The 23,132-nt window shown below is 38.6% G+C and overlaps 1 protein-coding gene across 5 annotated transcripts in view, besides 3 other annotated features; it reads left to right on the top strand.

Moving 5' to 3' along the window:
- CSMD1 (CUB and Sushi multiple domains 1) overlaps positions 1 to 23,132 on the top strand; it is a 2,059,554-nt gene that overhangs the window by 1,809,863 nt on the left and 226,559 nt on the right. For all 5 annotated transcript variants that reach the window (XM_011534752.3, NM_033225.6, XM_011534753.4 and 2 more), the window contains 2 exons: positions 3,838 to 3,942; positions 22,775 to 22,893. In XM_011534752.3, coding sequence (XP_011533054.1) covers positions 3,838 to 3,942; positions 22,775 to 22,893 — 224 coding nt within the window. The remainder of the gene's footprint in view (positions 1 to 3,837; positions 3,943 to 22,774; positions 22,894 to 23,132) is intronic.
- Positions 15,433 to 16,632: an enhancer, noted in NCBI's record as "MED14-independent group 3 enhancer chr8:3025942-3027141 (GRCh37/hg19 assembly coordinates)". NCBI's record gives its function as "activates an origin of replication core promoter dependent on BRD2, BRD4, P300/CBP and CDK7 cofactors, and independent of MED14, by STARR-seq in HCT116 cells {active_cell/tissue: HCT116}" and the evidence as "EXISTENCE:reporter gene assay evidence [ECO:0000049][PMID:35650434]".
- Positions 21,011 to 21,511: an enhancer, noted in NCBI's record as "H3K4me1 hESC enhancer chr8:3021063-3021563 (GRCh37/hg19 assembly coordinates)". NCBI's record gives its function as "activates a minimal SCP1, AML or CMV promoter by ChIP-STARR-seq in primed H9 embryonic stem cells {active_cell/tissue: H9 hESC(primed)}" and the evidence as "EXISTENCE:reporter gene assay evidence [ECO:0000049][PMID:30033119]".
- Positions 21,512 to 22,012: an enhancer, noted in NCBI's record as "H3K4me1 hESC enhancer chr8:3020562-3021062 (GRCh37/hg19 assembly coordinates)". NCBI's record gives its function as "activates a minimal SCP1, AML or CMV promoter by ChIP-STARR-seq in primed H9 embryonic stem cells {active_cell/tissue: H9 hESC(primed)}" and the evidence as "EXISTENCE:reporter gene assay evidence [ECO:0000049][PMID:30033119]".

The raw sequence follows: 23,132 nt of genomic DNA, 5'->3' as shown, positions 1-23,132 counted from the left end.
CTCACGGAACTTGAGAAAGCAATGGACTTATACATATGATTAAGACTATATTATAAAGGAGACAAACCAGGACAAAACAGGGATGTGACAGGACCTTGAAAACAAAGTGGTAGCCTGATGCACTTAGGCTAGATTTTGGAGCAGGGACTTGTCAAAGAGCATTCTATCAAAGGTGTGCACAAAAACATGAAACTGCTAAAATTTAAGGGTCCGGATAAGGTTGGAGAATGAGCTTATGTGAAGTAAGGAGTCAAGGACTCAAAAGTCTGAGACTATTGGCTATCCTGAGGCAGGAAAGGAATTCCCAGCCATGGTAAAGATTAAATTTCCCCATCTCCATAGGATGAGTCCTGAAAGCACAGTATAGATCAGGAAGTTGACCTAAAATTTTATTAAAAGACACGTCGTATGCCCATGTATAGAAATAAAATGTGCAAGCATTATTTAATTGTAAGCAGGTTATTTTGTGTGCAGAACAAATGCGTAAGAAGAAGGCAAATATCCATTCTGAAGCTCAGTTGATGGCTATTTCATTAGCCCAGGCAGGAGATGAATGTGATAAGAGCAGAACTGAAGACAGATTAAAGCTGTCACAGTCATATTTTGCATGGCACCGTTGGTCTGCTCATTGCCTTTAAGGATTTGATGAGGTTCAAGTTTTTGAGGCTGTGTCCTAATCAGGGAAGGTTCTGCTTTGCACGAAGTCAGAGAATAACTAGTATGTTTGGAAAATGAGTTAGTAGTTTATCTGGCTGATAAACTCATGTTTATTGAATTGAGTGAGTGGCTTAGTTTGGGAAATAAGTGGTTATATTTGAATGAATAGAAATAGGAAAGTCAAAGTGAATCAAAGGAGAAGGAACGAACATCCCAGGCCTATGATACAGAGCCTCTTGAAGCAAGAAAAAATGATTCTGAAAAACAAGTAATGATAAGAAGCTAGAAAAGCAAGCAGCAGTCAGATCATGCAGGGTCTTTGGGCCAAATCAAGGAGTGTGAAATTTGGTCCTAAGATGATCAGGAATCTATGAGAATTTTAACATGTCTCATCATATATACATTTGTAAAGTGTTTTCTGACTGCTGAATGGAGAATGCATTGAATTAGGAAAAGATCAGGCTCAAAAAAACAAGTTGGAAGATTATTGCACTAATTCTGGTTAACATAAGGCTGCCTGCACTGGGGTGATTGTTGTGAAAATAATATGAATTAAGTGAAATAATTTGGGAAAATATTTAGAATGCACGCCAGTTAAGGCGTGATGACTGATTGGAGGGCAGTCTGGGGTCATGGAGAAAGAGGAAGCTTTGAATGTGATGATGTGGATGGATGCCAATGGTATTAAGAAACAGTAGAGACCTACTCGATGTTTCAGGGATGGATAGATTAGGCGTTCAGTTCGTGACGTCGGTGGATGCCGATGGTATCGTTAAGAAACATTAGAGACCTACTCGATATTTCAGGGATAGATAGATTAGGCGTTAGAGACCTACTCGATGTTTCAGGGATAGATAGATTAGGCGTTCAGTTTGTGACGTGGATGGATGCCGATGGTATCTTTAAGAAACGTTAGAGACCTACTCGATATTTCAGGGATAGATAGATTAGGCGTTAGAGACCTACTCGATGTTTCAGGGATAGATAGATTAGGCGTTCAGTTCGTGACGTCGGTGGGTGCCGATGGTATCGTTAAGAAACATTAGAGACCTACTCGATATTTCAGGGATAGATAGATTAGGCGTTAGAGACCTACTCGATGTTTCAGGGATAGATAGATTAGGCGTTCAGTTTGTGACGTGGATGGATGCCGATGGTATCGTTAAGAAACGTTAGAGACCTACTCGATATTTCAGGGATAGATAGATTAGGCGTTAGAGACCTACTCGATGTTTCAGGGATAGATAGATTAGGCGTTAGAGACCTACTCGATGTTTCAGGGATAGATAGATTAGGCGTTTAGTTCGACACACTTCATGTTTAAAAAGCCTCTTCTAGGCCGGGTGCGGTGGCTCATGCCTGTAAAGCCAGCACTTTGGGAGGCTGAGGCGGGCGGATCACGAGGTCAGTTGATCGAGACCATCCTAACTAACACGGTGAAACCCCTTCTCTACTAACAACCCCTTCTCTACTAACAACCCCTTCTCTACTAACAATACACACACACACACACACACACACACACACACACACACACACACACACACACACACCTTCTTATAAAGAGACAGCCAGAGTCCCCCGAGACCATCCTGGCTAACACGGTGAAACCACTTCTCTAACAATACACACACACACACACACAGAGCTTCTTATAAAGAGACAGCCAGAGTCCTTCTCTACTAACAATACACACACATACACACACACACACACACAGCTTCTTATAGACAGCCAGAGTCCCCCTTCTCTACTAACAATACACACACACACACACACACACACACACACACACACACACACACACACACACACAGCTTCTTATAAAAAGACAGCCAGAGTCCTTGCCTGGGGTTATTGGTCTGATCAAATCTCTTGGGGGCCGGGTGCAGTGGCTCACACCTGTAATCCCAGGACTTTGGGAGGCCGAGGCAAGCAGATCACTTGAGGTCAGGAGTTCGAGACCAGCCTGGCCAACATGGTGAAATCCCGTCTCTACTAAAAATACAAAACTTAGCAGGACATGGTGGAGCATGCCTGTAATCTCAGCTACTTGGGAAGCTGAGGCAGGAGAATCCCAAGATTGTGCCACTGCACTCCAGCCTGGGTGACAGAGCGAGACTCCATCTAAAAAAATAAAATCTGTTGGGGGATATTGGATAGTTTAAGTGGTGAGCTAAGGATGATAGACAATCTTATCTTTTCAATAATGTTCATCTGTTTGGAATAATTATCAACTTATTTCTTTGCTTTGTTATTTAAATTATCATTTCTCCCTTTATACAGCAGTACTTGAATAATTTATCTACACTGTGGTTATTTTTACACAATGGATAGTTCTTTGACATCGAGTATGTCTACACTTCCAATTTAGAGAATGTTTTTACTAGAGTATTGAACATACATCAGGAAAAAAGTGACTTAAACTTGTCTATTATTTTTCCATATTATGATTCATTCCACCAAAATGTCTCAAACTTCTGAGTGATGAACGATTTTCTTTTCCTCAGCACCTGCCAGCATCATTACTTCTTTCTTACCCTGGTCCTCGGTATCTGTATTGCCCTTTCCAATCGGTTAGTTACTGTGATGTAGGCTAGAACATTTTAAGTAAAGAAATCACTATGTCAAAATAGCCCTATATATTCCTTTTCATGCATCTTTAGTTGAAATCATCAACAGATCCAGGGGGAACATTACTAAGCATGAGTCACATAGGGATCAGGAAGAGCATATATACAGGGTCAAAAGCAACGTCTTCTGAAGGATATGTCAGATCACTATCCACAGGGTCCGACTGCTCCCTCAACCCTCATTACTCTTGGCTGTTGAACTTTTCTTTCCTCTCTGTTCATGTCAAGTAAAAAAATAAATTTAAGAAGCAGAAGATTACATGGATAAAACAATGCAAAAAAACCTCATGCTACAATAGGAGTTTTTGTACAAGAGAAAGGTGTCACATCGACTTGAGCAGGTCAGAGCAGACAATGGGTAACTTTTTATTGTACCTAGAAAAATAGAATGGCTGAATACATAATAAAACCAACACTCAGATTAAATATCTGGTAATCAGACAAACTGTAGGGATTTGTAAGCCTAATAAGTATTCTCATATGTTTTATATTTAGAAAAGTGAATGTATTTGTAGTGTTACAATTCTATCTGCATTGTTTCTTACAGGCACCACAGTACCGGCACTGCTGAACAGTACTTCCAACCAACTCTACCTGCATTTCCAGTCTGACATTAGTGTGGCAGCTGCTGGTTTCCACCTGGAATACAAAAGTAAGGTCAACTCTTTCTGTATACAGCTTCCACTGTTATACTGAGTCATTTTTTTAAAGAAAAAATAAATCATGCTCTTATTAAACAGTGAAATATTATTTTTCTAAAACTGTGAAAGACTTGCATGAAATTTAGTGTTATGAAATCTGGCTCTACGAAATACATAAGCCAGTTGCGGTGACTCATGCCTATAATCCCAGCACGTTGGGAGGAAGAGGTGGGCGGATCACCAGACATCAGGTGTTCAAGACCAGGCTGTCCAACACGGAGAAACCCCGTCTCTACTAAAAAATAATAATAATACAAAAAAAAATTAGCTGGGCATGGTGACGGGCGCCTGTAATCTCAGCTACCTAAGAGGCTGAGGCAGGAGAATCACCTGGGAGGCAGAGGTTGCCATGAGCCAAGATTGCACCACTGCACACCAGCCCGGGTGACAGAGCGAGATGCCGTTTCAAAAACAAACAAACAAACAAAAGAAATATACATTATGAGAGACAAATTAATGGGTAAATGTATAAGTTCAAATCTCAAGTAATTAGATATAACTGCTATAATTTCAGGTTGTTTGTATTAAAAAGCACAAAAATGAACCACTTGTAATATTACTAGTTTTTTATGAGTAATTAAAAAATACTCATATTAGCATTCCCCAGAAGGTGGACAATCCTGACTTCTGCCTAGATTATGGTCATAAGCCTTTTCTGTTTCTAGTCTCAAAGGCAGTTAAAATAAGAACGAGTAGAGAGCTGTTGCTCCGGAGCCTGCATTTGTGTGTTATTCATTTTAATTGGAGGAAGGCATCGCACAGTCGACTCTAACCTTTTAAAGATGGATGTGAGACAGAGTTAATAGTCTGATAAATGGAATGACAAAGGTCAGATTCACAGATCTTTTTTGGCGTTTGATTATGCAGGTAAACCTTGTAAAAGCGAAATAAGAATTTCCAATGAGAGTAAGGTTTATTTTAGGACCTGTTTTCAAGCACTAAAAATGTTTAACGTTGATATTCATCTCCTTTAATAAGCAGTTGCAAATAAGCAAATACATGGATAAGCTTTAATAAGTGATCTTTTGAATTGAGATAAACAGTTTGCTACGATGTAAATGCATGCATATTTTTGAAAGGCCAGATTGCCAGCTGATGATAAATATTCTAAGCCAGGCACAAACCACAGGGCTGTTTCACATTCTGGTTAAATTTTCCTGCTTATTATGGGCATTTGTCTGCAAGTTTATTTCAATTTATATGAAGAGGACTACTTCAGTGACAGTATAAAATGATACTGTGGATGTTACTTATGTAGGATGTGTCTGGAAAATCTGCTACTTTGATATACTTTGTGACTCTCTGTAGATAGAAAAACATAAGCCTTGTTTATGATAGTATTTAAAAATTCACTAATAGTTTTGGGGGAGTTAGTATTGATGAATGCTCTTATCATTCTCAAAGTTATCCTGTAGCATCTGGGTTTTTATTCCTTTGTCTTGGAAAGAGGGGCTAGTGAAATAATTCATCTATGCTTATTATTATATACAGTGAGATATGCACTTACCTGGGCTTCAGCCCCATCAATATAATTATCTACATTTCTCTTTATTCCTAGACAATATCATTCATTAAAAAAGAGAGACTAACATATTTCTCATTCAGATGAACTTTGAGAATCCAAGCTTTTGTTTAATTATTTAATGTATTTTTTAATTGGGCTAAACATAATGCCACATTTTTGTTTGTTATTTTCTTTTTTAAGTGGTTGTTTTTTATACTAACACCATTCTGATAGTTTATGCCATTCAGTTATTAAGAGGAACTCATTTCTCTGTTCCTATTCTTCATGCCAGAATTTGAAATATAGATTATAGGCTGGGCGCGGTGGCTCACGCCTGTAATCCCAGCACTTTGGGAGGCCAAGGCGGGCAGATCACGAGGTCAGGAGATCGAGACAGTCCTGGCTAACACGTTGAAACCCCGTATCTACTAAAAATACAAAGAATTAGCCAGGCGTGGTGGCGGGCCTGTAGTCCCAGCTGCTCAGGAGGCTGAGGCAGGAGAATGGCGTGAACCCGGGAGGCAGAGCTTGCAGTGAGCCAAGATCGCGCCACTGCACTCCAGCCTGGGTGACAGAGTGAGACTCCGTCTCAAAAAAAAAAAAAAAAAGAAATATAGATTATAGAAAGTATTTGTAGAATTAACCTTACTACAATTAGCGTCAAATGGTATCAGGACTGTTGATGTAAATCGCCAAAAGATTTTCTGATATCTTAAATTTGTTGACATATTTTTGCATTTATTTTAAGATATGGACTGCCAATCTACAAATCTCTAAATTCAGATTTTTATTTTATGTCCATGAAATAAAAATGGAAAAAAAAAGTAGACGCTTACTCTATGCCAGGTCTTGCTCTAAACTTGTTACCGCTTGTTACTTATTTGTCCTTAAAACAGCCCTATATTTTTGAAGTCTGCTCATTTCTTCCAACTGAAGAAACAGAGCATAGAGCATTTTTAGCCTTCCTGGGTCCTAGCCACACTGTTAATAACAGATGGCATGCAGAGGCAGGCATGAAAAGTGCATTTTATTACGAATACCATTTACTGAGCACCTTGCGAGGTATCCAGACTACCCTACCAGGAAGGTGACGTATAGATGGCTGTTTTACAAACAATGACACCAAAGGTCAGTGCTCTCTGAAAAATGTCTGGAGAATCAAGGAGCTTGTGAGTCCATACTGAGGATCAAGTATGCCTGGTTCTAAAACCTGGGCCATTAAGGCTTATCTACATCTACTTCTATCTCAGGAGTTCTTTTCTCATATAGAAATGAAAACAAGGCCCCCTTAACCATAGTACATCCAAATGGACACTGGTGGAAATTTCTCAAACAAAAACCAAACACTTATATTTGAAAGATGGGCTGTAAAATAGTAATGGTAGCAAAAGCAGTTCCAAGAAAGTCTGGTTTAATGTATATGATCTACAGTCTCAGGGATCTTACAGAATCCTCTGGTTTAATGTATATGACCTAGATTCTTTGTAATCTTACAGAATCCAAGTAAAAGCTCAAAAAGATTAGCATCTTTGAATTATTAATATATTCTATAGCCATTTAGTCTTCGTTCACGTTATTTAACTTAACTGGACATGTGAGAATTAACACAAGTGTCACTCTTGTTCTGCGTTCTTTTCTAAAGAAAACCAATGAAACCAAGACAAAATACATATCCAGATATCTTAGAGTGCAACTGTGTGAACGGTGATAATATTGATTTATCCTGGAAATTACAAAGCCTGACCTCAAGGTGTACAGGATGGATCTTACTGCTGGCCAACAAGGTGGCAGTGACTGTTATTGAACTCAGTATTGATCTGGTGGAAGCTGGTGGGAGGAACAACAAGATTGAACACACGGGCCCCGAGACTGGAGTGTTTCTATTTACCCCATCTGTTTTTTTATTATTTCTTCCCACATTCTCTGACAGATTTTGGTGTAATTAAGTATTTCTATTGCCCCAGTTATCCCTACTATGGGCTTATTAGGGAAGAATTTTTAATATTGTAATGGTCTCCTAGAGATTGAAACACACCTTTTATAGAGCAGAGCTTACCTTCAAATAATCTTATGTCACTTTATGTATAATATGAGATCCTGAAATGACAGGTTTTGCTGCACCCCTGCAGTGGTTTAAGATTTGTGTTTCCTAAGAGCAAAGCTTCAGGGACATGCATGGTGTTTCACGCCCTTCTCGTCACAGAGCCTCTGCACTGGGGGCTGGGAGAGCTCTTTCTGGCCTCCAGCTGTGCCCCTAGGCTTTCTTATAGCCCCCTGATAGAGGCCTGTGGGTGGAAGGGCACACTCCCCATGCGTCTGCATCCAGAGTCACACGAGGCCCAGGCTCCACTTGCGACAGTTGGTGTTTATTAAGCTGATGATTCTTTTCTGGTCGCCTTTCCCCATTGTTTTGCTTCACACGTAGCATGCGGCTCTCGTCTCTTCTGGGGGAGTTTGTCCTTTAGAAATGAGGTCACCAAGCTGGGCATGGTTGCTCATGCTTATAATCCAAGCACTTTGGGAGGCTGTGGTGAGTGGATCGCTTGAGCCCAGAAGCTCAAGACCAGCCTGGGCAACATGGCAAAACCTCATCTCTATAAAAACTGCAAAAATTAGCCAGGCATGGTGGCCTCACCTGTAGTCCCACCTACACAGGAGGCTGAGGTGGGATGATCCGTTGAGCCCAGGAGGCCGAGGCTACAGACAGCCATGATTGCACCACTGCACTTTAGCCTGGGAGACAGAGCAAGACCCTGTCTCAAGAAAAAAAAAAAGAAAGAAAAAGAAAAAGAAAGAAAGAAAAGGAAATGAGGTCACCAGGGTACCTGCCACGCAGCTCCCTGATGGGTTCAAGAAAAGCTATCATTTTATACTTCAGTATTTTTACGTTGTTAAAGTGGGAGGGATGTTCTTTTTTGCAGATCTCTACATCCCAAGTGGATGGGATTTTTGCATTGTTCTAGTTCACGGGGTTTTACAATGTAAGGATCTGAAAATTTCTCTAGTAGGTTTTAAAATTACTCTAGAGATTTTAAGGGTCTTAGGGGTTTGAAAATTGCCCTAGTTCAAAGATAGTTATACCAATACTAAAATATTTTTTAGGTTAACTGTGGAGAAGTTTTTTTTGAATGCACACTTTTTAATGAGATCTATCTATCTGTCCCCCACATAACTTTAATATAGTGATGGATTTCATCATAACTGTGAAAACATTCAGAGATGTTCACAGATAAATTACAGAATTAAATTTAATGTATATTCTCATTAAAGATTAATTATTAGCAGAATGGTTCCCTCTAATTAAGAATTGCTTTCCATTTAGAGATGGCTTACAATAGAAAGTATTTTGATTTTAATATATAATAATACTTGTTTAATAATCATATTTTTCACTTTCAGGCCTTCTTCACTAAATTTGACTATTATTACGATTCAGCTTATACGTATTTCTGTCTTTCCAAGTTATTTCTAATTTAGCTTACTTCTAACAAGACAGTGAAACATTCAATACCTCATCTAATGACATCTATCCAAAATTAATATCCTAAACCTAATTGGTATGTTTGAACTCAAGCAAAAGACTGTTGCAGTTATCCTAGCTTCTTTAGTGTTAATGTATGCCACTGAGTCAAAATAGCTCCAAAGTAATTCTATGTAAGGTTTTTATTTCACTGCCTTTCTTAAAAGGTTACTTTTTCTCCTAATTCACATTCACTACTAGGAAACCCAGTGAAGTTAACAAAATATATTTAGAATCCATAAGATATAATACTAATATATTCTGCAAAGCAAATTTAAGTTACTCTTTCTTACATAGTAGCCCAGCAGTAGACATGGTCCAGTGTGGAAGCCATGTTCCCACGTCTGAAGCTCTGCTCGTAGATACAGAAGCCTATGCAGAGGGAACGGGGCCTCAAACATGAAACCCATGGCAAAGGCAACCTCAGGAAGGGAGGGAGGGAGGGAGGACAAAAAGGAAGGAAGGAAGGAAGGCAGGGAGGGAGAGAGGGAGGGAGGGAAGAAGGAAGGAAGGAAGGAAGGAAAAAAGGCAGGCAGGCAGGCAGGCAGGCAGGAAGGAAGGGAAAAGAAGGAAGGAAAGAAGGAAGGGAGGGAGGGAAGGGAGGGATGAAAGAAAGGAAAGAAGGAAGTGGAAGTAGAAAATCCTGATAGAAAAATTGCAGTATCACATTTACAATATATTCTGAATAACGTAGGAGGTTGAATCAGTGATTTGTGGTTATGAGGAAAAAAGAGGTAATTGGAAGAAAACAAATATAACAACTCTTTCATTATTTGAATTGACGCTATTTCTTTACCAGGTGGGAGTAAAATGGAGACATTGTTTCTACATTTTTAGTATAGTTGAATGTTCAAAGTATTACTTTTCTTTAGTCAAATGATTTTATCGTTATAAACTAAACATAAATATTTTACTGTTTTACCTGATTTGATTCACACTTTTATATTTTGCAATTATTAACATATGTAGATAATTTTGTGATATAGTACTACTATTTTAAAGGCACTGAGTTCAAAACTTATACCTGATTAAGTCATTCTTGCATGTATTTATATAATTGGTAGTTAGCTATATAGTGAAAAAATATGTCATGAACAAATAAGATCTCACTCAAAAAATACATAGTCAAACATGTAAAAAATAAGAATATCTAGATTTTTTAAAGTGATAAACTGCCTTCTCTTTAAGTGTTTGATGCAACATAAAAAAAGTGTGTACAATAAAAAAAAATTTAATGGAAAAAATTTTAAAGGCAGCCCAACCAAAGAGAAAGCTATAAATATATCAGCCACCTAGATTTTTAAGATAGCTATTATTAGGCTTTACATTTAGCTTTAAATGTTCTGACAATAAAATCATAAAAGGAAATGGTATTTACTTACGTAATTATCTTTTTGAAAAGAAAACAGTAATTAAGAGAGATAAGCTCTTAGTTCTATATTCTAAAAGGTTTGTGAGAATATAGTCTTTTAAAAATTTTTCTAGAAAATATAGAAGTGATCTTTATGTCTCAATTTTTATAGTTTGTTTATTGTTTGTTTTTTGAGACAGAATCTCACTCTGGCCCAGGCTGGAGTGCAGTGGCATGATCTCAGCTCACTTCAGTCTCAACCTCTTGGGTTCAAGCAATCCTCCCACCTCAGCCTTTGGAGTAGCTGGGACTGAAGGCAAATGCCACCACACCCAGCTAATTTTTTGTATTCTTAATAGATACAGGCTTTCACCATGTTGCCCAGGCTAGTCTCCAACTCCTGAGCTTAAGCCATCTTTGCACCTCAGCCTCCCAAAGTGCTGGGATTACAGGCTTGAGCCACTGTGCCTGGACTCTGTCTCAATTTCTGATATAATTTTGGGAACATAATATAACTAACTGAATTAATTTCTGCAGTTCGCTGTGCTGATGATTACACTGGTCAATAGAATATTACTGTGAAGTCACGTTTCTTATGAATGTGCCATTAAAATACTTCCTTAATTCTTGTTTTCACTGATGTATGAGCTCCATTTCATTTCCTCATCTCAAAACAGGTACTTAGAAGGAAGTATCTAAATGAGGATTAAAATTCTGGAAAATGCCTTATGTCCTTTGAAATGAAACATACTCAACATTTTTGGCAGGACGTTGCCATAATTGAATACAGATAACTTGGATTAGCCCCTATAATTACAATAATCCTTATAAGCACATTCAAATTATTAATACATGCTTTAATGGCACTTTAATATTACATTAACACTACTGAGGAGAGTTCTTAATTGGAATTTTGGTGAACATGAGTAACATCACAGGAAACATGATAAATAGAGAAAGCAGAACTCCAATATAGCGAGTGTGTTTACAGAGATTTCATTCTGTGCACTGAGACGAGAGCTTACTACCTCCAACAGAGGAAGGACCATATAAACCAGCATTCATCCAATAGTGTAATAACTAATCTTCATTGCCTCATGTTAAGACACTTACTGCATTTATTTCTACATTAATTACTCCATAAGATCTTTTTCCACATATTCATTTCAAAAAATTTTCCTAAGACCCACCTTCAACTTCACAGTTTGGCCACAAACAATGCATTCCTGCGTCCTATTAAAATTGCTTTCATTAATATCAATCAAAGATTATTCATGTCTCTCTCATCCCTACTGTTCTAAGTGCACCAAGGACCATGGAAATATCTAAAACAATGTAAATTCTGGCTTCTGTCTTACATCACAGAGAATTCCAGAGCCTCGTCTGGGAATGTGAAGTCACTTCTACAATATTACTTTAGGCATTCAATATTTATTTGTGTGTTGAGTGTAACACAAAAAACTAATAACAGATTAAAATTTTACTCCTACTGGTGATATTTTGGCGTTTTAACAATTACTCAGTGTAAGGGACAGGTGCCAAATAAATTACGTAATCACATGGTGCTTCAGTTGACTTCCTTCCTAAATAAAGTGATTGAAATCAAGTTGTCCTCCACAAGTCTTTGGAGTTTCAAGTTCTAATGTATTTGACAAGGCAGGGGTAGGGGTGGACTTATCCTACAATCACTTCTTGGGACAGCCACTTAGGATTACCTCAGTTATTTCAGTGGTAGGTCCTATCAGTAACGTCACGTACTTCCAAGCTGACCTCCTGCTTATTGCTTCAGAAAATCATCAATCATGAGATAAATATTGCCGCTTCTCACTCCACTGTTGTTTTAGAATGTTGCCCATGTGGGAAAGGGTTTCAATGGAAACTGACAATTGCCATTGGGTTCAACTGCCCTTGTGCCTCATGGGAGACGATGTTTGGTTTGTTTTTCTTTAGGAATGACCTTCACAGAGTGCATGTGGGCCTTCCTCCCACCTCCCCTGAGGGTGATTCTTTCTCCATTCCCCTTCTCTGCCCCCCTTAAGTGTCCTGTAGGTTCCCTACGTGCACCACCAATTATACACACTCCACTCACATGTCTCGCCCTGCCCTCTTGACTCTGTAAGTAGAGTCACAACCAGACAACAAGATCAATGTGGTCTCTGCTAATTTCAAATTTAAATTCTTGAGGTGGGGGCACAATTAGAAAGAAAACACCTAAATCTGGTTATAGGTTATGATAAGCACCTTGAAGCAAATTGGCGGGGTTCTGAGATGCAGATGACAGCAATGCCTCAGATTAAAAGTATCCCTAGAAAAAAAATGAGCATTAGTCAGCCATAAAAACACTTAGGAAAAAAACGCTGTAGCCAAAGCAAAATATCAATACAGAGACCCCAGGTGGAAAAGAACCCAGCACATTTGTGAAACAAAACAAACAAAAATGTAGAACAAGGAAGGGCTGTGAGCAGTCAGAAAAGGAAGACAAAGAAGAAAAGGAAAGAAGGTTGAAAAAGGGGGCAAGAGCCACAGTGCGCAGTACGTTGTAGCCCAGGATTTATTCTAAGAATAATTGGAAGTCATTGATTTTACATGGTTCTGAGACAGGCAAGGAGCTCGATTTACTGCATAAGGGAATTCTCAGGATTTTGTAGATCCTTTAGTTTTTGAGTGAGTTTACTTTCATTAAATATAATATCATTTAGGTAAGTCTAGCCTTTGGAAACAGAAGCATGCTACAGAAAGGGAAAACTGTTGAGTCACAGTGGGTTTCTGAACCCAAATATAGAGACACAGGATGCAAACTATTTAACAAGTATTAAACTGGCACTATCTGAGCACACTTATATCCTCTATTCCCAAATAATGGATAAATCTAAAGGATGATACTACAAAGCATGTATTTCAATAGAGAGCTAGATATAGAAGTATATTGTCTCATTGACAAGTTGTGCTCACTTGAAAATTATGATTATTCTATTTTTTTAAATAATTCCTTTGGTTTCAGGATATTCTTACTCACTTTAGAATTCATGATGTTTTTCTACCAAATTTATGTCTTGGATGTTAAAACTTGAAAGAATTCTCTGTTCTACAGTAGGTCTTGCAAATGTTTCATGGTAAGTAACTAGGGAATAAAGAGTCTAGACATGGAATAAGTAATGACTAGTGGCTCTGTGACTTAGCCAACCACCAACTCATCATTTATGAAAACCTCAGTCCTGTCATACTTTTGATCAAGGCTCTAGACACAGGGGAGTGGACTTTAGACATGTCAGTGGGATTGAGATGGGTGGTGAGTAAAGTTTTGAGTGTTAAAAAGGGAAATAGTATTTGAAGTGGAAATCAGGCTGGGCTGCTTGGAGTCCCCCCACTTTCTGTCACCAGGTTGTCTATTCTTTACTTCCTGTTGAATAAGTAAAAATGAAGTAGAAGCTTTCTTTCCCAGTGCTTCTATCACAGTTCACCAGGAAGTCATGCGATACTTTATAAAGGATCTATAATTGGCATTCAAGCCTTTTTAACACTATCTGATTGGGGCACTTGTTTATTTCTCATTTTAAAATATCTGTTTCCCCAAATCTTGTCATTCTCATGAACTATAATCATAAATTTCAAGTGATCTTTCTGTCCTTGACTTTTTTCAACACAACACCATGCTCAGATTTATTCCAAAATGTCACTTTGAGCAGATCATTAATTATATCCGGCTAAAAATCCTTCAGTGGTTCAACATTGTGTGCCCGCTTTATTATGGCATTTCTAAATCATGTGGCAACTAGTTCATCACCCAAGTGTGTTGACTCGTTTCTTTTCATGTGATGTAATTATTAGGTAATAATGTCCAATCAGTGGGAAAATGCTTTAAAGAAATCAGGGGTAGATTCTGTGACCATATCTTGTTTTCAATAGTCCATTTTAAATACAAACTTACACAGTTCACTATTTTAAAGTGTGAACAATTTTTGATCTTCACATATTTATGAACTGCTTTGTATTTCCTACAGTTGTGCATGATCCATGGATTAATTAAAAATTAAATTCACAATGGCCATTCAAGATCAATCTTTAGGAGCTCATGCTACAGAATGAGAGAGCTGTAAACAAAAGACTTAAAATGCAGTATATTCTGTGCTATGGGAGGGTAAAGCACACATTAGAGGTGCTGTTAGAAATAAAGCTCGGGCCGGGCACGGTGGCTCACGCCTGTAATCCCAGCACTTTGGGAGGCCGAGGCGGGCGGATGACAAGGTCAGGAGATCGAGACCATCCTGGCTAACACAGTGAAACCCCGTCTCTACTAAAAATACAAAACAATTAGCCAGGTATGGTGGTAGGCGCCTGTAGTCCCAGCTACTCGGGAGGCTGAGGCGGGAGAATGGTGTGAACCCGGGAGGCGGAGCTTGCAGTGAGCCAAGATCACACCACTGCACTCCAGCCTGGGCCACAGAGCGAGACTCCGTCTCAAAAAAAAATAAAATACAATAAAAAGAAATAAAACTCGGAGTTGTAAAGAAAAATGAGCACTCAAACAGGATTTCTCAGCAAAGCAAATTTACTTTTGCGCAGAAGGGTGCTTCTAGCAGGGCTGGCTGCCACAGCAGCGCCGCAAAGGAGAGTAGAAGCTTTTATGCCTAACGCGACTCCTGCACTTGTGTCCTTTCCCCATTGGCTGGGGTCAGGCCGCACAATTTAGACTCAGTTGGCTAAACATTTAAACTTTCTTAGATGAGGTGGGCGTGTGATGGGAGAGAGGGGAGAGGAGGAAGGGGTCATCCACAGAGGACTAGAGAGCCAGCCCATTCTCACATCAGGAAAGGAATGTGAGCTGGGGCTGTGGCATGTCTGGGCATGTAGTGACACCAGAAAGAAGAAAGTGGGGGGTACTTGGAATTAGAGAATAAGAAGCTGAGCATGCTATTTGAAAAGAAACCGTGCTATATCTCACAGGTGCCTTGTTCAACTTGTGCTATATTTCTAGCTCTAGACTCAGCGGGCTCCTCAGTCCTTTCTATTGTGATAAAAATATAAATAACATGACATCATGTTAACTATTGTTAAGCGTACAGTTCAGTGGTATTAAGTATATGCACATTGTTTTGTAGCCAATCTCTACAATGTTCACATCTTGCAAAACTCTGCACTCATTAAACACTAATTCTGTCTGTTTGCTACTCCTAGCCCTAGGCAACCACATTTCCTTTTTTTTTTCTATGATTTCGACTACTAGAGATAGTTTATATGAGTGGAATCATACAATATTTGTCTTTTTTTTGATACTGGCTTATTTCACTTAGCAGCAGAATGTAGACTTTTCACTCCATTGTTTTCTTTTTCATGTTTGATGTAGTCACATTTGTATATTTTTGCTTTTGTTACCTGTGACTGTGGTCTCCTATCAAAAAATCAATGCCAAATCCAAAGTCCTGAAACTTGTCTCCTCTGGTTTCTCCTAGGATGTAAACAGGGCTGTACTGTTTGGGGTGGAGTCTGTAATTCACTGAGATGCATGATTCCTGCACATGTGTAATGCAGAGGCTATGTCATTTCCTGGCTTATGACCTTGAATACATTACTTACCATCTGCCCATGAATGAGGATACTGGTCCAGGTTGTTGGTGGGTGGTACGTAGACCAAAATAGTCCTGTGACCAGAGAAATTTTGGAAACCATGTATTAAATAAACTTGATGAGAGTTCATCACTGCAGAGTTTCTCTGCACCAGTAAAATGCTAATATAATTTGTGAGCCCCTGAGAGAGAGAGAGAGAGAACATTTTACTTCCCCTAAAGGTATTTTGTCACTTCCCTTGTCACCAGACATGCACTCCTTTATGCTTTGAAGAGACTGCAGGATGTAACAAGTGGAAATAATAGAAATAGCATTTAAGATATGTGTCAAACCTGCCAACAGTTTACAGATGAGACAAAATCTTTTTACCTCTACAATCTAAATTTCCCAGATGATAAATAAAACAGTTTCTTTTCTTTTCATAAGGTACTATGTTATTAATGGCGTTTTCCATATATATATATATTTGTGTGTGTGTGTGTGTGTGTGATGAAGACTTACTGACTCCTTACACACTGTGACATAGAAGTCTGGGTGCAGAGGTCCACATTTATAGCTGTCTATAATCATGGCATTTGACATTTACTTCCTCCATTGTCAGGCTCACATGATGTCTCCTTGGGTGACTTGATTTCTTTCTTCCCCTATGTTCCAGCACATTATCTCAACTTTAATGCGATTTTTCGAATTAAGAGTTAACAAAAATAACGAGCAGCACCTCTGTGTTAGGGTGTGCCATACCTGTGCGCATCTAGAAAAAGAGGAATTTTCATCTGTGTGTCGTGTGCCAGAGAATAATTATGTAGTCAATTACAATAAACACTACAGCCAACAAGTTGTTGTCTTTTCAAAATTAGAGAATAACCACTTACGTTCCACATAGTGTTCATGGTCTACCTGGGCGTTGAATACTCAGGTGTCTGTATGCGCCTGTATTTTGATTTCTTGACCCTGTTTCATGCTACTCCTCTATTAATCTCTTCACATGGGTCTGCTTCCCTCACTCTCTGCTTATCAACTTTTTTGTTTTGAGCTCTCTAGTTTGAAATATCTTTTTTTTTTTTTTCTAATTGTGATGTTTGAAAACCTTACACTCTGCCAGTCATGCACAGTTGAGGAAAATTGCCCAAGGTCATTTCAGTTCATAATATCTACAAAAGTCCCATTTGTCCTGTTTTAAGTATTTGATTAAAATTGCATGTTTATCATGTGTTCTAAAATCATTTTTATCTGGAAGATTTAAGCAAACTATTCTCAGAATTTTGCCTGATGGATTTAGAAAAATGGCTACAATAAATTCCAGGGACCTGATGAGGCTGATTGTTATATTCTGATTCTTAATGCTCACGTTTTATGATCAGTGGTAGGTGAAGCCATTAAAGTGTTTTTGGTCAAATTAGGACACTCATCTTCTTAATGGCTGTGTTTTAGATTCTTTGCTTTCATAGGCTGGATTCATGGGGTTTAAAAACTTCTCTTGCTACATTCTACATCTAATTGCAATTTTACATAGAAGCATCTTTGTAAATGTCCAAATTTTAACATTGGAATTGAACACAAAATGTATCAGTGGATAATATTGTATAAAACACTACAGTACATAAGACCCACCTCCTTTCCCAATGCCTGCGTTTTGTTCTTTCTTGTTTAAGTGTTTTTAAATGTGTAGATTGCACAAGAATTACCTTTATGTTGTCTTCACATTTAATCAGGGCACCTGGGCATTCAGAGTCATGTATTAGGTTGGCACAAAAATAATTGTGGTTTTTGCCATTAAAAGTGATAGCCAACCTAATAGTTTGTGAACCACCTTTTTTTTTTTTTTTTTTCTTTTTCCAAGTTGGAGTCTTGCTCTGTCACTCAGGCTGGAGTGCAGTGTGCGATCTCGGCTCACTGCAACCTCCGCCTCCTGGGTTCAAGCACTTCTCCTGCCTCAGCCTCCCAAGTACCTGCGATTACAGGCACATGCCACCACGCCTGGCTAATTTTTGTATTCTTAGTAGAGACGGGGTTTCACCATGTTGACCAGGCTGCTCTGGAACTCTTGACCTTGTGATCCACCTGCCTTGGCCTCCCAAAGTGCTGGGATGACAGGCGTGAGCCACTGTGCCCCGCCCTGTGAACCACCTTTTAAAGAAGCATTGCTTCACCCCATATGATATATTATCATTTATGGTATGAAGCATATGTATGCTGTGATTTGAAAGAAGTACAAATTATTTCTCTTGAAAATTTTCCTAAACAATAAGACAGCTTACTTTTTCCCAGATATCTCTGCTTCTGGAAAATTAATCTAGAATTTTCCTATCATAGTTACGTTTTGTGAGTTCTTTTTAGTCTGCCTTAAGAATAAATAATTCTTTTTATTTGTATATGTCTTCCTAGATACCTATGTTTTGTGTCTATATAAATACTTATAAATGTCTATTTCTATAGGTTTGCCCATTATTTATATGATACTGCTACCCCTGGCTTGACAATATGAGAGATCACTTTCAATCAATGCAAACATCGTTCTTCTAAAACACTTCAGGAAAGGCAGACTTGTTGATTAGCATTCTCTTTTTATTTTTTATTTTATTTTTTTGAGATGGAGTCTCGCTCTGTTGCCCAGGCTGGAGTGCAGTGGTGTGACCTTGGCTCACTGCAACCTCTGCTTCCCAGGTTCAAGCGATTCTCCTGCCTCAGCCTCCCGAGTAGGTGGGACTACAGGTGCACACCACCACGCCCGGGTACTTTTTGCATTTGTGGTCGAGACGGGGTTTCAGGGCCATGTTGGCCAGGCTGGTCTTGAACACCTGACCTCAGGTGATCTGCCTGCCTCGGCCTCCCAAAGTGCCTGGATTACAGGCATGAGTCACCATGCCCAGCCTAACAGACATGATGTGATAAGAATTATCATACATAATTCTTTTTAAAATTCTTTTTTTTTAAAGTACATGATTCTTTTTAAAAGTCTAAAAAGAGAATTATGTATACATGTATAGACTCAAGCTTACCTTCTACACAGTTCATATTTATTACCAAACACCACCCTGCCTACTTCCTATCATATCATATTTGTTTCACATTTTGACTAATACAGTGAATAAATATAAATAGTCTAATTTTTTCTGTACCAAAAATTCATCAATAGACGACCTTCTGTCCCCTAAAGGTCAGAAGGTTCACTGCCTTGTCTTCTATGTTATTGTCTACATTCCCCCACCTCCTTTCTGGCTTTTCTGTTTCGGAGCCATTCTGTAGATGGTTGATTTCTCTCTCAGAAGGTTTCACCGCATTCCCAAAAAGCTCAGAGTTCTCCTGTGCTCCACTCTTGCCCTATTTTAACATCCCCATCACTGTCCTGTATGTCAAGCCTAGCTGTCTTCTGCCCCTGCATCTGACACACCTTTACCAACAAAAAACCACCGTTCTCCCAGCACTTTGGGGAGGCTGAGGCAGGTGGATCACGAGGTCAGGAGTTCAAGACCACCCTGGCTAACATGGTGAAACCCCGTCTTTTCTAAAAATATAAAAAAATTAGCCGGGCGTGGTGGCGGGCACCTGTAGTCCCAGCTACTCAGGAGGCTGAGGCAGGAGAATGGCATGAACCCGGGAGGTGGAGCTTGAAGTGAGCTGAGATCACACCACTGCACTCCAGCCTGGGCGACAGAGTGAGACTCTGTCTCAAAAATAAATAAAAAAATAAATAAATAAAAAATAAAAATTAAAAACCACTGTTCTCATGATGACTTGAATTACTCCTAGTGTTGCAAGCGAATTAGTGCATCTTTATGAGAGAAATGCAAAGTATGGAAAATACTTGGGCTCTGATCATATCAATCGCTTATGCACTTTGTCACTCCTTTTAATATAGTAGCAGGTTTAAATAATATTGATAAAAAATATTCTTACACATACCAGGTATTAATCTCTTTGCATTCTTAGCTTCTAACATATACTGGGTGTGTAGTGACACTGGCGAAGGGAGAAGAAAAGATGGTTCTTTTTACATTTCAAATATTGTGCTCTGCATAGAACTGCTTCCTGAGTCTGGCCATGTTAAACACCGGTCAAAATGGTATTTTTGTGTGTTTTTATTTTATTCATTTATTTATAATTAATTATAAATTAATTATAATTCCTTAAAGGCCAGATATAAATGCAATTTTTTTTTCCCCAGAGGATCAATTGAATAGAATTCAAGAAAGGAGAAAATGACAATAAATCAATATGTAATAACTGCATATAAATCAATATATAATAAAAACACATCATATCTTATGGGTAAAACATGCAAGTTTAGTAACTGGCCTTTAATATGAATTGTAATGTTTCACTTTTCATTTCAAAATATTTTGTCTTGATATTTGGAACCTGTTTTTGTAATCGATATTCTTCGTTCTGTGTCACCTGGTGTGTCCTTGAAGTATCTCAGAATGACGATGACTTAGTATCACCCTAAAGTAGATTTTTAGTATTCCCGACTGTAGTTAAAATTTACCTAGTATTTTAAGTATACATTTTTTTCAGGGGGAAATAAAAAACTCAGAGATGTATGGTAGATGACCTTGCTAATATGTGGTAGGAAAGAAAAGATGGGATTTAAATGTAGTAATCTATGTTCTAAAGTTAAAACAAAAGATTTTAGACTTACATTAGTAAAAGAAGTTAAAGGCCTAAGTGATTGTATATATTTTTTCATATTTAGCAGTTTTATCTTCTATGTAAAGCCCCAATGGCTTGAAAATCTGTGGTAGGAATAAAGTATATTGCTGCTTAATGCTTATGGTACTTCATACTTCTAAAAATGCAGCCATTTAAGGAAAAATCTATTTCAACTTAGAAAAAGTTCGTGGCACTCCTCCTACCTACTCATTCTATACAGAATCAATGGGTTCTGTGGCCTGACATTACTCAACTAGTTTATGTACCACTGCTTTCCATTCTGACCTGGATTCCGTAGCATGGGATTCTCAAATGAACAATCACGGTACTGTAAGATGAAGACACTTCTCTCTCTCCATTTCGCCCTCTCAGATTTGGGGAAACACTCGGCAAGCTGGTGAAGGATTTGGGATGGTGTTGCCTCCGACTCAGCAGATCTGGGGTCGGCACTGGTGAACACATCTCTTACAGGCTCCATCATCCAGGCAGTGGAGGAAGTGTACTGTTAGCTCAACACGCATGAGAGATCAGGCTCATATACATGGACACACCGACCTGTGCAACTCTGCAGCCAGGCTGACTTCACTTTGCCTTTTGTTTAATATCAGACACAAGGAGCCTGGCTATGAGGGTCTGGTGGGGACTGGAGTTAGTATAATGCGTCTGGCACAGTGACAGCCATGCAGGGATGACCCAGGGTTTCCCTTGACCTTGCTGCTGACTCTGTAGCTTCGACCCACAGCTGCTTCCTGAGTGGGCACTGCGTGAGTCACACTGGGTCTCGTGCTTGGTGGCCGCTGGTTTTGAAGTTCTTAATCATTTTATCTTTGCACTTGTGCTTTTTTTTTTTTTTCTTTTTCGGAAAGTGAAGTCTGGTGAGACGTGGAGCAGGCATGAAGCAGATGAAGCAGGGAAAGCTGACTGGCTTCAGGGCAGAGCCCCGCGTGGGGACCGGCCCATGGGCAGTGCAGGCAGCTGCGTCCTCTCTGTGCCTGGGGACCACTAGCATGGGACTGCCCCTGAGTGGACCTGTTCTCCTGCTGTTTTTTTTTTTTTCCTTCTGATTAACTAAAGTCCTACTCACCTCCTCCACCCCAGCTTCCTTTCTGAGAGTCCCAGTCAATTAAGTAATCTGATAAGTTCTCTCCTGTTGTTGTGAAGTACAAGAACTAAAGTGCGAATCCAAGGCCCCATAAAGAATGTGAAGCTGGCCTACCAAGAGAAGCCTTTCTCCACTATTTCTTCATGACATGTTAGAATAATGGAATAAATTATTTGTATTCAACAAGCCCTTAGCACCATTTCAAATGCATTTTTTAATTAAATGAAATTAATATATCCATCAACATCCAATGCTGTACACTTTAGATCCTCAGAACTTGCTCATCTCATAATGGAAAGTTTGTACCTTTTGATAAACCAAAATCAATTTTTGATTCTACAAAATATGGTAGCTGCATATCTTGTTTATTCTTATGATAAGGATTTATACAGAGAGGTTTCAGTGTTTTAGAATTCGTTTATCTGATACCTTAGGCTGAGTTCCAGTATTATATGATGCCTTTAAAAAAATCTGTGAGTGTCTTAACTGAATGCAATTCATCTAGGAAAGTGCAGGATTACAGCTTTAGGTTCTGTAAATATTGTTTCTGTTTAATGAAGAACAGACTGTTCATGAGATCCTTTTTTGTTGTCTTTAAGAGAAAGAGAGAGAGAGATTGAATGTAAAATATTTTTTCTCTTTTTTTTTTTTGTAGAAGAACAGAATTCCAAGATTCACACATAATTTTTTTATATAAAGACTGCTAAGTATGCTTGAAAAACAAAAGTAAGAGGGCAATATCCTGGAGTTTTACATATCATAAAAACACAATTTTTGAAGAGACTTTTTACAATATGTATATATTGAAGTTGGGATCTTCTATACTCAATGTGGAAGTAACAAATTTTGTTATTGAAATCAAAGCCTTGATTCATTGTGTAATGAAAATAAGATAATTTAATTTTTAACAATTAACTCATAGCTCTGATTTAAAGGTACTCAAAGTCTTCTTGGTAGAATAACAAGAGAAAGAGTTGAAGTCTTTGTTCATTTCTACAGAAGGAGAGCAATAGAAATAAACTTTGGTTATTCAAATGATAAGAATATTGTTTACATCATATAATTTCTAGCATTTGTCTTTGCATTTCTAGCTGTAGGTCTTGCTGCATGCCAAGAACCAGCCCTCCCCAGCAACAGCATCAAAATCGGAGATCGGTACATGGTGAACGACGTGCTCTCCTTCCAGTGCGAGCCCGGGTACACCCTGCAGGTATCCTTCTTCTCAGTGCTCAGGAATAACATACACATGGTCATCTTTGTGCAGCTCTCTTAAAGCCAAAGCCCTCACTTTGTACCCATGTTTTCCTCACTCAGTTTGTGAATCATACTATTCATATTAAATCATGCATGTTGGTCATCTTCGTCACCATTTGGAAACAGCTTTTAAGTGATAATGTACTCTTTCAAAGCTAAGCATTGTATTTTTCACAATTGTTTTATTTCAAAATA

The sequence above is a fragment of the Homo sapiens genome, chromosome 8, assembly GCF_000001405.40.
Source record: "Homo sapiens chromosome 8, GRCh38.p14 Primary Assembly".
Lineage (NCBI taxonomy): Eukaryota > Metazoa > Chordata > Mammalia > Primates > Hominidae > Homo > Homo sapiens.
Note: the sequence above shows the minus strand (reverse complement) of the source record. Positions and strands in the feature narration are given on the sequence as shown.